Here is a 16250-nt window from a genome sequence, read left to right as displayed (position 1 = left end):
CAAGGGAGGAAGAGGAAAGTAAGTTTAGTCAGCATCTTAGTTGGAGGGGTTGGATGCCAACCTTTCTTAAAATAGAGGAAAGGGACATTGGGTAATCTCTTCTCTATTTTTTGCCTTTCCAGTTTAAAAAAGGAAAGATATGGGGATAAGAGAAATAAGTTAAAAGTTCTAGGAATACAGAGATGAAAAATAGATTGCACCTTCCATCAAGGGTCTCCTGGTCCAGGAGGCAGGCAGACACATAAAACATGATGATAGAGGAAAACATAGGAATATGGGTAAGGCACAAAAACAAAGCAGAGAAGGAAGTAATTACAGAGACAGAGAGACAGAGAGAGAAAAGAGGAAAACTTGAGGTGGAATTTAAAGATTTTGACCAAATAGAAAACAGAACAACAAAAAAGTCTGTATAAATGCACAGAGCATGAAATGGGCTGACATTTTGGGGCCTAGAAGGAATCTGATATTGCCGGAGGGGAGAACAGGAAGGACTAAGTGTGGAGAAATGAACTAGTGAATCTGTTAGGAGGTGGGAGCTTGAATATGGTGTGGAGAGCCACTGATAGGTTTTTAAAACTGGATTTGAGTTTCCAAAAAATTACTCTTGTGGTGGTGTCAAGAATGAATGGCTGATCATCTGATCAACAAAATGAAAAGCTGGTTGTTTCAAAAAAAGTAAGTAGATGAACTCCTGGCATGACTGATTTTTTTAAGAGGCAGAAATAAACAGTACTAGACATGAAAAGGGACATTGAAACAAAAAGTAAATATTTAAAAATCATAAGAGAATCACATGAACAACTTTAGGCCAATATATTTAAAACTTTAGATACATTGTACAATTTTTAGAAAGCATAAATTATGGAAATTAAGTTGAGAAGAAATTGACATTAAATAAACCTATAACCAGCGAGGAAAAAATTAATTCAATAGTCAAAAATATTCCACAAAAGAAGACTAGCTCCAGAAAACTTTGCGGACTTTTTTTTTTTTTGAAAAATTAAAGGGAGAAATAATAACCCCTAACAAATAACCATTCCAGAAGAAAAATATTTTACAAATATTTTATAAAGCTATTATAACCCTGATGTCAAACCCGGAAAAGTACAAAATGAGAATCAACCTCACATACAAACAGACATGCCAAAGTACTAAATAAATGCTAGCAAGCAATCCAGATGGAATATATATATAAATATCATAGAAAATAATTCTTACATTTCATGTAAGAATTTAACATAAGAAAATCAATTATATAATTTATTATAGACATATGATGATAAATAATGAAAAACATTCAGTAAAATTTTACACCTAGTCATGATTTTTTGAAAAAAAAAATCTTTGCCAACTGGTTTAAATCATAGCTCCATGATATATTAGTTATTAAATTTTAATTTGGATAAAGATAAGCTTTGTATGAAAATGGAGAAGAATAAATTAGAAGAGGAAAGAGAGTAGAGGCTAAGGGAATGATTAGGAGGAGGTCATGGTGGCAAATCTAGATAGGAGATTCAAGATGTCAAAGGCTGGAGAAAAGCTCTGATGCCAGAGACAGAGGAGAGGGCGGATTTCAGTAATAATTAAGAGGGAAGATTGATAGAAGCTGGTGATTGATTGGATGTGGGAGGAAGGTTGTAATGAAGAGAAAAGAGTCTATTATGACTCTCAGCTTTCTAGACGAGGTGGCTGGGTGGATGGTAATTCAATTAACCAAAATAGAAAATACAGTTTGAAGATTGGTCTGAAATTAGCAAGTATTTCTTGTATGAGAAGGAAATGACTATTTAAGAGAATTTAGTGCCAGTAGCCTAAATTTTTTTTTTTTTAAAAAAAGGACTTTTTGCCATCACCTGATTTCAATTAATATCAAGAGGAAAAATAAAAAAAGTATTATGGGCTTTTAAAGCCCAAGCTAGTACTGCGCCAGGCAGAGTCACTACTTGATATAGATTTGTTGCACTAGCCCAAAGCTGCCAGCAGTTTACTCAGTATACGGATAGATAAGGAGATGAGGGTTTTGGATAGCCAGAATCACAGAAGGTAAGAAAAAACATGGTTACCTTGTAAGTATATAGAAAATGTAGAGTTAAGTATTGCCTAATAATGGCAATGTTATTGATAAAAGTATTTTAACTTTGAAAACAGAGCGAAGAAGGAAAGATGTCTCCATTTCCTTACATCTTGCTCTATTATATCTTTCATTATGTTTTTATAAATAGTTATTACATTTTTGGGTTATCATTAAGATTTCTTCACAAAAGGTTAAATTTTGTAGAAAATAACAAAATATAATATTTTGGTCCTCAATAATTCCTCTGTGCCCAAGGCACTGGACCCACCAGCTAGCAGCTACCAGAATTGCCCTTTTCTTCTTCCTCTTGTTGGAGAAGGGAAAACTTTCTCCAGTTTGCCCTCAACTTGATGATAACCATGTAAGTCCCAGCCATTATGCTGTAACTTGAATGTGTATCAAAATCTGTAGAAATAAACCAAACCAAATTACCATTTTATTATGTATGTGCAAGATATTGAGAAAGTTATTGGTTAAACATTTCCACCCAGCCTGGGAAAGAAAGGACACTACAGAATGTGGAAGGCCACTACCAAAGTGGTAATATCCAACTGAAAGCAGCATCGGGCAGCTGCTGAGATGTTTTGCTAATAACAAGACAGTTGAAAATGATGATAACTTCATCTGGCTTTAAGGAAATTCATTCAGGCACAAATTGGGTGCAGAATGCTGGAAAAGTCTGAGTGGCTCATCTAGAGTTTGGGTAACTATTTCATCACTGCCTGGTGCTTGCCTTTCAACCTTTGGAATGCCATATTTCAGATGGCATTAACCAGTGACCAAGCTCAAATCAGAGGGAGAATGTTCTAGAACCTGCTGCCAGGAGCAGTCTCCTGCTGATCCAATCCAAGTGGCAAGATCCACAGCAGGACAAAGGAACTTTGGAAAGGGACTTGAAAAGAGTTCAGTTACTCTGCGGTTAACCCATCAAAGGCATCTTCCTGTAACCCAGAGGACAGCAGGCCTCGACATGTGCTGGCCATTTGGAAAACAGATTCATACAGAGCAGATCAAACATTTCAGGAGAGCCCCTTGCCTTGAAAGGATGGAGCCTTATGAAAATCATTAAGCAATTCGTTGATATTTATTTGCTTACACTGTGCTTCAGCAAAGCAAGCAGGAGACAAGGATGAGAGCTATTGACCCAGTTTCAGAGGCTCTAGTTCAGAAAAGAAGGATTTCCTTACATGTTTGATTTCAAAGAGTCTTTTAAGAAGACATCCTACCACATGGCTGGCATAGGGAGGCTGTCTTGGCTTCCTTCAACTGTGTATTAGGTTAACAGCCACCTCAAGCTTCTTAGAAACCTAGAAATCCCAAGGCAGTTAAAGAAATTCCACAGAGCTAAGAAAACCCTCTGCAATCTCAGAGCTTTAAGCAGAAAAAATATTTCCAAATATCTTCCTTTCTTAGTCTGTGCCACTTTGTGTAACCTACTCCCAGCCTCATAAAACATGTTGGCTCCACAGCGTGCCCAATCGTCTGTCCTTCCTAATGAGCCAAACTCTTAATTCATGGTTCAGCTCCCATGAGCCTGGAAATGAACAAGGAGCAAGTCCCTATTTTCACTTTGAGAGTTACCAGGTTATTGTGCATGAGTTCCTTCTAAACCAAAGTAATTCCACTGTCTGATAAAAGGAACCGTGCTTGCTTTAAAGTTTAAGGAAGTAGCCCCTCACATCCATCAGCCTCCAGCCTCAACTCCCTGTTTACTCAGATGCAAAATTCCTGTGATCAGAGAAGGGCTCAGCAGAATGTAATCATTCTTACACTTTGGGCTTTCAAATGGTGTGTTTGTTTCATCTATGCTATGGGGAATGCCAAAAGCATAGCCTCCGAGGCTCTGGGAAGCTGGGGAGGCTGCTGGCTCAAGGAAATTGGGCTCAACTTCTCCTAGAACATTACAGAGGTTGCAAATCTGTCCTCAAATATTCAACACATATGTTCTAAAATTCATTAAGTTCCAAAATTAAAAAAACAAATTTTAAAAATCCAGCATTGGTTCTTGTACAAAGCAGATATTCAAGGAATGCTTGTTGACTGTTGAATCTGTTGGCTGATAAATATGAGAAATACAGTCTGGTTTGTACCACATGGCAGCTCAAGTTCCTAGGAAGACATTTTTCCCTAGTTTGCCTTTAGACATGTTTTAGAAAATGAGTTACCTAAAATAAACCCTGCCTGTCTTTGAAAGAGTACTTTCCTTACAAAACCTTCCCAAAACTCTCCCCTTTATGATTTTGGGGGGAACAACTGTCACTTGACTTTTAATTGTTAATTAACCTTTTGTTACCGCTTCAACTACATGGTCCTCAGAGGGCAGAATTCTGTTTTATTATTTAATTACTTTTTTTGGTAACTCCCTTGGGATCCAACATGGTTCTTGCACAAAGCAGATACTAAATAATTGTTCATTGGTTGATAGATTTGTTCATTGATAGGTAATAGAAATACAGCCTTATTTGTGCCATATAGCAGCCAAGCTTGCAGTACACAAAAAGCATCATTCTCTGCTACTTTCTTATAAGCCCATGCTTAGAAGAAATGTCTTAGAAAGTCTTTTCTGTGGTCTCAAGTTAGCTTTGGACATCAGTATTTAAGAGGGAATAATATATTTTATAAAATAAAATAAGATTGGAAGTATATAAATATTATCACCGCAAATATTACAACACTGCTATAGCATTTTCTGTTGCTTGCCAGAGACATTTGTTAATGTCTAATAGGCTCATGACATCCATTTCTGTAGTAGACAGAGGCACCTTGATTATGGCAATTCCTTTGTAGATGAATGAATCAGGCTTTTCAGACAAGATCTAACTTATGATGCTTTTGTATTGAAGGAAGGAAGGGGAAGAGGGAAGGGAGGGAGGGAGGAAGGAAAAGGATGAAAGAAAAAGAAGAAGAAAGGGAGGGAAGGAAGGAAGGGAGGGAGGGAGGGAGGGAGGGACTCAAAGTGTCTACATATAAAATTTGACCACTTGTTAACTACTGACATGTTCACGTAACAAATATGCCAGTATAGGAAATTTAAAAGAAAAAAAAACCAACCCTAGAAATATAATTTGAAGACGTTTCCTTCATAAGACTTTGTTATCATAAATGGCAACTTTATCCAACTTGATCTGACTTTATCATAAATGGCAACTTTATCCAACTTGATCTTAGCAGGGTTTTCTTACACTGGAGTGTAAGAAAAACACACTCCAGTAGTCTACCTGAATTTTAGAACTTCGAAGTAGCCCTGTACTTAGCAGTGCTTCCAATGAACAACAAAAAAAGCCTGGAAGATAGCCCTTTCTCGATGCTTGTACTTATCACTACTGGGAGAATAGCTTCCATCACAGCATTTATTGACTCCTTGCAGTAGACTCTGCAGGCATCATCTCATTTCATCATTCCATCAAAGCAGGGGCTGTCTGCTTTATCTGCACAGGCCTGGCACATGGTAAGCGTTCAATACCTATTTGTTCAATAAATGAATGATTATAACAGCTCTATGAAATAACGGCATGATGCACATTTAATGTATGAAGAAACTGAAGTGTGAATAGACTAAATGAATTGTCTGAGATCTTGGTAGAGCCCTGACTTGCACTGCCACCTCTCTGACTAGCACTTGTGTTGAGCAACCATTTACCTTGGTACCACCCTCCTCATTATATCTGGAGGGCTACTATCAAGGGTAGCCTTTCTTTTCTTGTAGGTTGAAGAACCTCTTTTCATCCCTAGAGGATTAGCTAAAAAGAAAGCTAAACCATCAAGGCTTATAAAATAGTGTTTCCCTGTGACCTTTTTTCTAAATCAGGAAATGGTTTCTTAGGCCCCATAGAGCCAGCTCAGAACTCTACCTCCTCCTCCTTTATCAAGACTTCCTTGACTTGGAAAGTGGTTTCTATGACAAGAAGTGTGCCAACAGTTTTTACAGGCTGCCAAAGCCTCCACCTCTTTCTTAAAGAAGCCAGGGCTTTTTCTTCTCCAGAACTTTGACACAATTAAGCAAAATCCAACTATTTTCAATGTTATACCATGGTTTCTTCAGAATATTTTAGAAACCTTGCCATATCTTAAGCAGTATTTAACATAGTGCAGGGGTTCAGTAGCAATCATTCCATAAATACTACACTTAAAGATCACAAAGAAATAAATGGATATTGATCAGAGTCAAGCAAAATTTTCACATAATTTCTTATTTAAGTAAATGTTAATTAAGGGAGGCTGAGGTGGGAGGATCACTTCAGCCTAGGAGCTTGAGGCTAGAGTAAGCAGCGATAGCACCACTGCACTCCAGCCTAGGCAACAGAACAAGACCCTGTCTCAAAAAAAAACAAAAAAACAAAACAACAGCAATAACAACAAAAAACCTCTCTATCTCTCTCTGTCTATATATATATATGAAAAATAAAGAGAAAAAAGTAATTGTCTATATATTTGTCCATATTAGTCATTTTTACTGAATACATACAATGACAAAAATGGCATATCAATGAAAACAATCTGAAGGGGAACAAAAAGTAGACTTTGTAATACCAATGGAAGAATTTTTGAATCTAGGTGGAGGGGTGGATGAAGTGGGGTTGTATAAATTGACTTGACCACATTCTTAATCTTGAAGTTGATATGATAATATTATCCAGAAAAATGCCATTCATTCATATTGAGTAATATATTACATGTAAATCACACAACACAATGTCTGGCACATGAGCTTGGTGTTTTGTTTCAGCTGTCCATGTGAGTCGTTGATATCACCTAGATACTCCTCAAGGAAAAACTTTGTAATAAAATCAGTCGTGCTTGTTTGCTTTGGATACTAGCATATGACCATATTTATCACTAGCAGAATTCATTTTGGATCCATGTTAGGGATTTCTTTCTTTTTTTTTTTTTTTTTTTTTTTTGAGATAGAGTCTCGCTCTATCACCCAGGCTGGAGTGCAGTGGCGCAATCTCGGCTCACTGCAAGCTCCACCTCCCGCGTTCACGCCATTCTCTTGCCTCAGCCTCCCTAGTAGCTGGGACTACAGGCACCCGCCACCACCCCGACGCCCGGCTAATTTTTTTGTATTTTTAGTAGAGACGGGGTTTCACCGTGTTAGCCAGGATGGTCTCGATCTCCTGACCTTGTGATCCACCCGCCTCGGCCTCCCAAAGTGCTGGGATTACAGGCTTGAGCCACCGCGCCCGGCCCATGTTAGGGATTTCTACATGAAACACAATAAAACACCAATTGCCAAATATATCCACCCCTCCATACCCACCCTAATGAAATCTCACTTATCTGCAAGACTCATCTTGAACACCACCTCCTCCATGAAGTCCTTCCTGGTCTCTTCTAAAAGCAGATATATTTTCTTGCTGTCTTGAGCATCTTAAAAGCTTTGACTTTTACCCCTCTGACAATACCGACTTTGTTCTGCCTGCTTTGTTACTGTCTCTTTGCCTTATCCCCTATTAGAATTTAAGACTCTTGAAACTCAGGACGGACCTTATCTTTACATTTCCTACAGGCTGAGCACAGGGTGTTGAACCTAGGAGCTCAATAAAAATGTGTTGAGTTGCAGTGAATCGTGACCCACCCTGGCTACCAGGCCCTCAGCCAGCTTTAGAGTACAGGACACAATAGGTCCTTGTATTCACTGCTGTGCGCACCCACAAACATACACTAAGCACCTGGAAACAAGGGGACACTTAGTTACTTGGCAAATACTTGCCCTCCCAGGGTGTCTTCCCTTTTGAAAAGGCTCCTTGGACAGCTGGCCTGCTGCTGGTTAGATGGGGCACTCCCTGGAATGGCCCATCACTGCAGCAAATGGCCAAATTCACCGTGCCAGGAACCAAGAGAAGAGAAGGGTCCAAGCATGAGAGTCTCAATGCCAAGAATGTGCTCCAGACTTATAAATGAGAGGGAAGCAGGGAGCATTGCGATGAGGGAAATGATGTTGAATTTGCACTAAAGCCTCCTCTCTCTCTCTTCCTCTTTTCCGTCTGGTCCCTTCCTTCTCCCTCCCTGCTCCCAATCTCCCATTGTCACTTGGTCCTGCAGAGCTTGGAATTCACGGCTAATCCTTAGGGAGGGGCCTCTGCTGCAGGGGGGTCAGGGCCATCGCCCACTTCCTCTGTGGGATGCGCTCACAAGATGCTGTGGCAGCACTGTTGGCTGCTCTTTATTAAATACAAATTGTACTGACCGGTTTCCAGGAACTTCAGTGGAAAGTTGATTCCCCCAAACCCTCAAGACATTTCCCAGATCCTGAAAGGATTATTATTATCTTTGTTATTATTTACAAAGCCCACATCATTTTTGTAACATTTTCTTTAAAAAGCAAGATGGAAAGATAGAGCATGCATAAGCATGCATCTTCCAGAATGCATCCTTAAATTCTGCTTCCTTCACAGGAATAAAATAACCTGTTGGATTCTGGTTGGGCAGCAAGACAGAGGGAACAGGCTTACTCTTGAAGTCCAAAACTGACAAAGTTTCTAGATTTAGCAAGTAAAAATACAGGACACCCATTTGAATTTGAATTTCAGATAAATAACGCATAATCTTCTAGGATAGGTATATCCCATATATTGCATGGGACGTACTTATCCCAGATGATTACGCGTTGTTTATCTGAAATTCAAATTTAACTGGTCATCTTTTATTTTGTCAGGCAAACCCAAGCCCAGGGAAAGTCAGGTCAGTAAAGAGATTTCCACCAACAAAAGCTCCTTTTAAAGCCCTAGCTGAATGGCTTTGGACGACATTTCAACTCAGGCCCTGCATTTTCCCTGGAGTGTGAGCTCAATGTCATAGAAAAACAATTGGGAGAATGAACATTCAGTGAACATTCTGCCCCTTCCTTGCCCTCAGCAGCCTGTGGCAAACTGCTCCCCCTTAACCAGCTGGGGAGGAAAAAAGCTTTCTCTTTTAAGATGGCTTCCCCCTCCCCTTTTACAGATTGGATTGTTTCTTGGATTTGCTGGAGAGCTGCTTTCGCTAATTGCTTGCAGACTGCAGTCCAGTCCGGCCTGCCAACTGTGGAGGCGGTGTGGTGGGGCTGAGTGATAAAGAGTAAGGGGTTTAGACGCAGGCAGACCTGATTTGGAACTCCAGTTCTTCCACTTCCTCCTGCGAAACATCAGGCAGGTTGCTTAACCTCTCTGGGCCTCCGTTTCTGCATCAGTAAAATGAGGATGCTCACGGGTGAGTTGAGAGTAACACAGGATTGGAACATGTACATACTTGTCACAGTGCCTGACCCATAGTAGGTACTCCTTTAATAGTAACCATTATTACTACTATTGTCTTTGGTATGTCACACATTACAAGTGCCACCTGGAATTGAGTCTACTTGAGCCTGAGACTTAGAAATGCAGGCAAGAGACTCTAGAAGGCTGTCAAGCACTTGTAGACAGGAAAGGATGGCTTGGTTGAAAGATGGCTCCACTGCTGTCACTAGGGGCCCTGCCCCATTCAGTCTTGCAGCAGGCTGGCAGACTGGCCACCTTAAAGCCAATGATCGGATGACAAAATGAACTTAAACTAGGTCACAACAAAAATGTGTTAGGAGTCAGAAGTCTACTTTAAGAAGTGGAAGTAAGAAGCTGGGCACGGTGCCATGCCTGTAGTCCTAGCTACTTGGGAGGCTAAAGTGGGAGGATCCCTTGAGCCCAAGAGTTGGAGTTCAGCCTGGGAAGCATAGCGATATCCTGTCTCTAAAAAAAGAAAAAGATGTAGAAAAGGGAGAAGGAGAGAGAGATGGAGAGAGAAAAAGAGAACTCCTTGGCTTTATTGTTGAAAATCACCTCTTTTTCTATGTGGGTGTGGGTGTAGTGGCCATGTGTCTGGATCTCATCACCATTCTTCTGGTCATTGTTCTGGTCCCCTTCCCTCAGACCTTCTTTGGAGGGTGGTTCAGATGCAGTCGTGGCCCATGTGACACAGGCCTAAGCCACCAGCTCATCAGATCCCCTGCCCCTGCCAAGAGGTGAGTGTAGCATTGGGCACCCGACTCAAGAGGAGCTAAACAAAAGCAAGGAAATCTAGTCCCAGGCCTTGCCTGGATGATTAAAAGAAGGATGAACTTTCCCCTCCTAAACTTTGAAACTGCAAGCAAGTGAAGTCTTAGAACCACCACAGACATCTCACAACCACAAACATGGAATCTTTTGAAGAACTGGAATAGAAGGAACTCAGCCATCTGAGACAGACACACACACACACACACACACACACACAGAAATCCTGTGACATCTTTTGAGTTTCTGTACCCATCCCTGAACTATTCACTGGCAGGCCCAAATACATCCAATTTTTTTTGTTGTTTAATTCTGTTTGAGACAGGCTTTCTGTTACTTGTGGATACAGATACAACATGTCTCCCTGTCTCCTAGTTCACTTCTGTCTGCCTAGTGCTTGATCTTGGAATCTGTCTCTATTTGTAGCTACTGGTACTCTTTGGGCTCATCTTAACTTGCTTATTTGCCAGTGGTCAGGGGTTTCAGCCTTACGCCCCTACCAGCCCTGACACTTCTGTCCCCAAAGGTCACCTTAGGATGACAGGAAGGGAGAAATGGCTGTTGGCTGGTTGCTGTACAAGAAAGTGCCTGGCACTGTGCTGAGAAATTTATTCCACTAAATCCTCCAGCAACCCATTTTACAGATGAGGTGACTGAGGTCCAGAAAGTGTATACGTTTCCAAGGACTGCCATAACCAAATACCACACACACACTGGTGGCATAAACAACAGAAATGTATTTGCTCACTGTTCTGGATGCTAGAATTCCAAGATGAAGATGTCAGCAGGGTGTTTCTTCTGAGGCCTCTCTCCTGGGCTTGCAGACGGCCACCTTCTCAGTGAGTCCTCACGTGGGTTTTTCCTCTGTGCGTGCACATCTGTATCCTAATCTCCTCTTTTTATAAGGAGACCAGTTATATTGAATTAGAGGCTTAACCTAATGACCTCATTTAACCTTAATTGCCTCTTTAAAGCCTTGTCTCCAAATACAGTCACATTCTGAGGTACTGAGGGCCAGGACTTTAACATATGAATTTGAAGGGGATGAAGCTCAGCCCTATAAAGAAAATGCTATATGATTAAAAAGGAGGGAGAAATTGCAGTAATTGAGGGTGGGTTGAGAGGTTAGAGGAGGTAATGAAGGAAAGGGATATGGAATCAGGAAAGGATTCAGGAAGGAGATGTTTCCACATAAGAATCAAACTGCCTGGAAGTAAATCCTGGCCTGACTACCTACTGGCTATATCATCATAGACAACATATTTAGCCTTGATTTCCTCATATTTAACTAACAATTGTATGAATTATTAATTGGTACTAATAATTGTATCAATCCCATAGACTTCTTGGGAGGAACCAATGGGATAATCCCATGAGTATTAGAACAGCACTGACACACAACATCTCAATAAATGTTGGCTATTATTATCTAAGATGTCTCAAATAATAGGTTGGAGCTATATAAGTAAAGGAAGAGATTTGTGGCTAAGACAGATAAATAAAGAGATGCTGAGACTGACCTTATTTGTGTGAGTAATGAATTTGGACTTAGTTTTATAGGCAGTAGAGTTGAGCAGGGGCTGTAACATTATTACCAGTAGATGTACGCTGTGGAAAGATTGCACTCACCAAGATGTGTGAGATGCATTGGAGGGGGAAGAAGGCACGACAGAAAGACGGGTCTCAGCAGGAGGCCGTTAGGGAAGAATGGCTGAGAAGTAATGTCAGCATGAAGCAGAGGGGGCGACTCAGGTGGATGAGGGCAACGAGAGAGAAGAAACCATGGAGATCAAATAGACAAGCTCGGCCACCAGTTGGATATCACGGGTCAGGAGAAAGAAAAAGACAAAGTTTCAGAACTACAAAAAAAATTGGTTGTTACCTGCAGCAGGTCTGTTACTTTGTTTTTTGTTTTTGTTTGTTTGTTTGCTTGTTTTTGTCTATCCCACATTCCCTACCAGCCCTCCCTTCCTCATTTCTAACAGAAATCCAGTTTTGTTCAAATATTCAGCCTCTTCTAAGTGGCCACTGCTTCAGAGAAGATTGACTCATCTTCAACCTGAGGAATGAGTCTTGATTTGTCCCAGACAACTCCATTTCTCCAAGTCATGCAGGTGGCTCCATTTGTCCACATCATCCAGGTGGCTCCATTTGTCCATGCTTTCCAGGGATTGTATTAGGCATAAGCAGCTGCAGAAATTCTTAGCAAAAGAAGCAAAGGAATGGAAACCACCCCAATGCCCATCCACCAAGAAATGGATAAGCAGAATGTGGCATATCCACACAATGGAATATTATTCAGCAATAAAAAAGAATAAGGTACTGATTCACAGTACAACAATGATAAGCTCAAAAGAGTATGCTAAATGAAAGAAGCGAGACACAAAAGGCCACATATTATATGAGTCTGTTTAAACAAACTGTTCAGAATAGATAAATCCATGTGGACAGAAAGTGTATTAATGGTTGCCAGAGACTGGGGAGAGAGGGGAGCAAGGAGTGATTGTTAATGGACAAAGGGTTTCTTTTGGGGCAATGAAAATGTTATAAAATTTATTGTGGTTATGGCCACACAATTCTGTGGATGTACTAAAAGGCCATTGAATTATAGACTTTAAATAGGTGACTTACATAATATGTAAACTGTATCTCAATGAAGCTGTTAGTAATTTTTTTTAAGGAGCAAAGGGAAGACTGCTAAGGAGACTTCCAAGAAAGCTTCTGCCACTCTTAAACAGAAACAAGAAAGTTGGCTACTTTTCCTCTGGAGGCTGAATATAGCCTCTAAATATGACCACTAGAGCTATTAGAGGGGTCTAACTACTGTGAGAGGAGCCAACAGAAGCCAGAACTGATACACACATCGAGGCAGAGCTGAGAGAAGCACCTCAACTTCTCACTAGTTGAGATAATACATTTCTTTATTTTAGGCACTTGAATTGGGGTATTCTGTCATGTATCCCAGGTATTCTAACAGATACAGTTCTATTAATAGAAATTGTTAGGTTGGAAGAAGATCTTTTATTTTTAGACCTTATGAATTTATGAATTTATGTCCATTTAAAAGTGGAAGTGTAATGTAAGTGAAATTTAGAGGTGTAATTCTAGATCTGAAGAAGGGGATGGATGGGTGGATTGATGGATTGATTGATTGACTGAGGAGTTACATGCTCAGAGCTGAAGGCTGAAGCCCAAGGGTGAGGACATAGAGAATGCAAAGAAAAGTCTGAGCTACATGGACTCCCTACATTGAGTAGGAGGAAGAGGAAGAGAAATCAGTGAAAGAAACTGAGAGAAGGTCTGTATAAAAGGATGAGGGAAAGCTTGAGATGCTACATGTGCTGTTATGCAAACCAAAAAGTGAATTCAGGAAGAAACGAGATAAAGTTTGGATCAAATTCCGCCAAGAAACCAAGGCAGAAGTAGCAAAGATAATGTGGTTAGATAGACAAGGTGATCACTGTAAGGAAAAGATAAGGCAAAAACAAAGGTAGTTTCGTGGAGTGATTGTGGCAAAAACCAGATTTGAGAAGATGTGGGTTGGAAGACAGTGGTGGACACCGAAGAAGTAGTGGCACTTCCTTATGGAAGTTGTTGTGGAATGCATTACTGTATTCACCAATATCTGGTTCTACTCCCGTTCCAGGCACACGGAAAATGGTACTTCCCAGCGTCCTTGCACTGTGGAAGAGTATGTGGTAGTTCTTCAGAGAAATGTGAAGTGGGTTCTTTCTGGACTGAGGCAGGGAAAAGCCTGTGCCAGATTCATCCCTGCTGCAGTGGTCATGGGGGAGGCCCTGTGCAGAAACAACAAAACTGAAAGATGAAAAACCCGTGATTGCTGAATCACTGAATACAGCATAAGTCCTCTTGAGAAAAGCCACCCAATCTTCTGTGGCCATTGCATGTACAAGAAATAAACTTATTTAAGCCACTAGGAAAGCAGCAAAAGAGAACAGCAAAGTTGAGGAAAAGAGTTTTGTTTTTGTTTTTGATTTTTTACATATTTATGGTAAGTAAGACCAAACCATGTTTGCTAGGAAAATGGAAAGAGAGGAATAACCTGAAGATGACAAAGCAATGGTCTAAAGAAATCAGAAAGTATGGCAACACACAAGCCACGAGGTGAGTCTCCGCCCTTCTTCCAAGAGAGATGTAAAAATCTAGGCCCAGGATGAATACCCGGCAGTTTTAGTTGGAGAGGGAAGTTGAGGAAGCCCACCCTCCTTAGTCCACGTACTAGACTTCTGAGACAAGCAAGCAGAGGCTGGAATTTGGAATCTTAGGAGCAGAGCAATTTCAAGGGATGACGAGCGTCTACGACAGAAATAACCATGCATGCAATGATCGCCTCTGCATATCAGCCTCCTGGCAGCTGTCCATGTAGGATGACTGGCAAGGAATGATATAAACTGCATTTCATTCTCTTGGTTCAAATTCTATAGGCAGCAGAATTATCATTATTTGAAAAGTAAAGTCATACCCAGAAAGGGTTAAAACTCTTCTTTTCCCAAGTTCTAGCCTGCCACCCCCACTATTTCCCCAGTCCTTTAACTAAATTAGCTATTCCATTGACAGGCCAGCACTGGTCCCTCACAGAACAACACATGCTGTGCTCTCTCTGTGAGTGCACTCGTGGTGAACTTTGAGCCACACATCTGCTGCAGGGAAGAAACTCTTATTCCCAAATGGCTGACATTAGCTGAGGATGCTGGGTTCATCGCTACCATAGCATATTGTTATTAGATAAGCTGCTGGAGAATCAGAGGAGTAAATTTAGTTATTATGTCTTTACCTCATTATAGTGCATTCCCAACTATTGTTCATTTCATCAGCTTGATATTGTTCTATGTTTCTACAAAGTGAATGCTTGGATTAAAACCAGTATCTACTCTCCTTTACCCCTAAGCCATTGCTGTATCTAGGCTAAGGATGTATTTTCACCATGTCATTTCTCCAAGACTCTTTCTTTGATTTAAAGCATGAATCAGCAAACATGTTCTATAAAGGGCCAGATAGTAAACATTTCAGTCTTTTTTGGGCCATATGACCTCTCTTGCAACTACTCAACTCTGCTGTTGTAGTCCAAAAACCATAGATAATAACTAAATGAATGGGCATGATTGTGTTCTACTAAAACTTTATTTACAAAACCAGGCAGTGGGTTGGATTTTGCCCATGGGCTATTCTTTGTCAACCCTGGTTTAAAGTATGGATTCGCAAGAAAGCTTCAGGTGAACAGACAGATTTTTAAAGTATCTTTTCACATGTTCATCTCTTAGAAGGAAAAAAAAGACATTTTGCTGGACTCTTTTTACCCTCTGCAGACAACAGTATGGTATTTTTCCCCTTTTAATATTTTGCATCTTAAGTTTTTAGATTCCTCCTCCACTGCCAAAAAAAAAAAAAAAAAAAAAAAAAAAAGTGAAGGGAGAAGAATTTTAATTCAGAGAAGAGAGGGTTAAATGGTTAAAAAATTAGAGGGTGAAAGTATCACTTATCTGCAAACACAGCCTCTTCTTTAGAAACTGATTTACCCAGACATTGAATTGATTATAAGATATGTAGAGTAAAAACAAATTTGCTGACCTTCATTTCAGAGAGCAAAGGTTAAATTCATACCCTGTAGGATGGTGCTGCTAAATTGCTCCCAAGCTGCCTAGTGACATATTTTCAAAAAATATCTCTCTCCAACTTTATCAAGTGTTCTTTGTGTTCTGGAAACATGATTTTGAGTCCCAGCTGGAGCTGGGACCTCATAAGTCTTAGATAGCTGAAATTCTTCTCCAACTATATCCAGAGGCATATGGCTAGTTGGGATAGACGTTAATTGCAGGGATTAATATCTCTGAGTCTAGTTGTTTATTGAAGACTGAAATTAACATTTTTAAGCTAGATAACCAAGGGTTGCACAAACCGTGCATAGATAAAGGGCTAAAAATGTCCATTTTGATGTCTTTGACATTGGGCTGAATAAATATGTCTTGGATTGTAATATCTGGCAATGACTGTGTGTTCTCAGTTTCTTTGCCTTTAAGCAATGCCTCAGAGGAGAACTTCAACAGTTCAAAAGTTGGGAAAACTGTACACACAAAAAATTGATCCAACACAATAACATTTTTAAAATATTAAGCAAATTTTCTGTCTCTTTCATTGCAAGCTAATACAAA

At 40.2% G+C, this 16250-nt stretch overlaps 1 protein-coding gene and 1 long non-coding RNA gene across 4 annotated transcripts in view; one reads left to right on the top strand and one right to left on the bottom strand.

The window, feature by feature from the left end:
* Positions 1–16250, bottom strand: part of LOC101929727 (uncharacterized) — a 248010-nt gene that overhangs the window by 137879 nt on the left and 93881 nt on the right. The window lies entirely within an intron of this gene.
* RNLS (renalase, FAD dependent amine oxidase) overlaps positions 1–16250 on the top strand; it is a 411796-nt gene that overhangs the window by 341076 nt on the left and 54470 nt on the right. The gene's annotated exons all lie outside the window — the stretch shown is intronic.

Source organism: Homo sapiens, chromosome 10 (assembly GCF_000001405.40).
Source record: "Homo sapiens chromosome 10, GRCh38.p14 Primary Assembly".
Taxonomy (NCBI): domain Eukaryota; kingdom Metazoa; phylum Chordata; class Mammalia; order Primates; family Hominidae; genus Homo; species Homo sapiens.
This window is presented reverse-complemented; position numbering and strand designations above follow the sequence as displayed.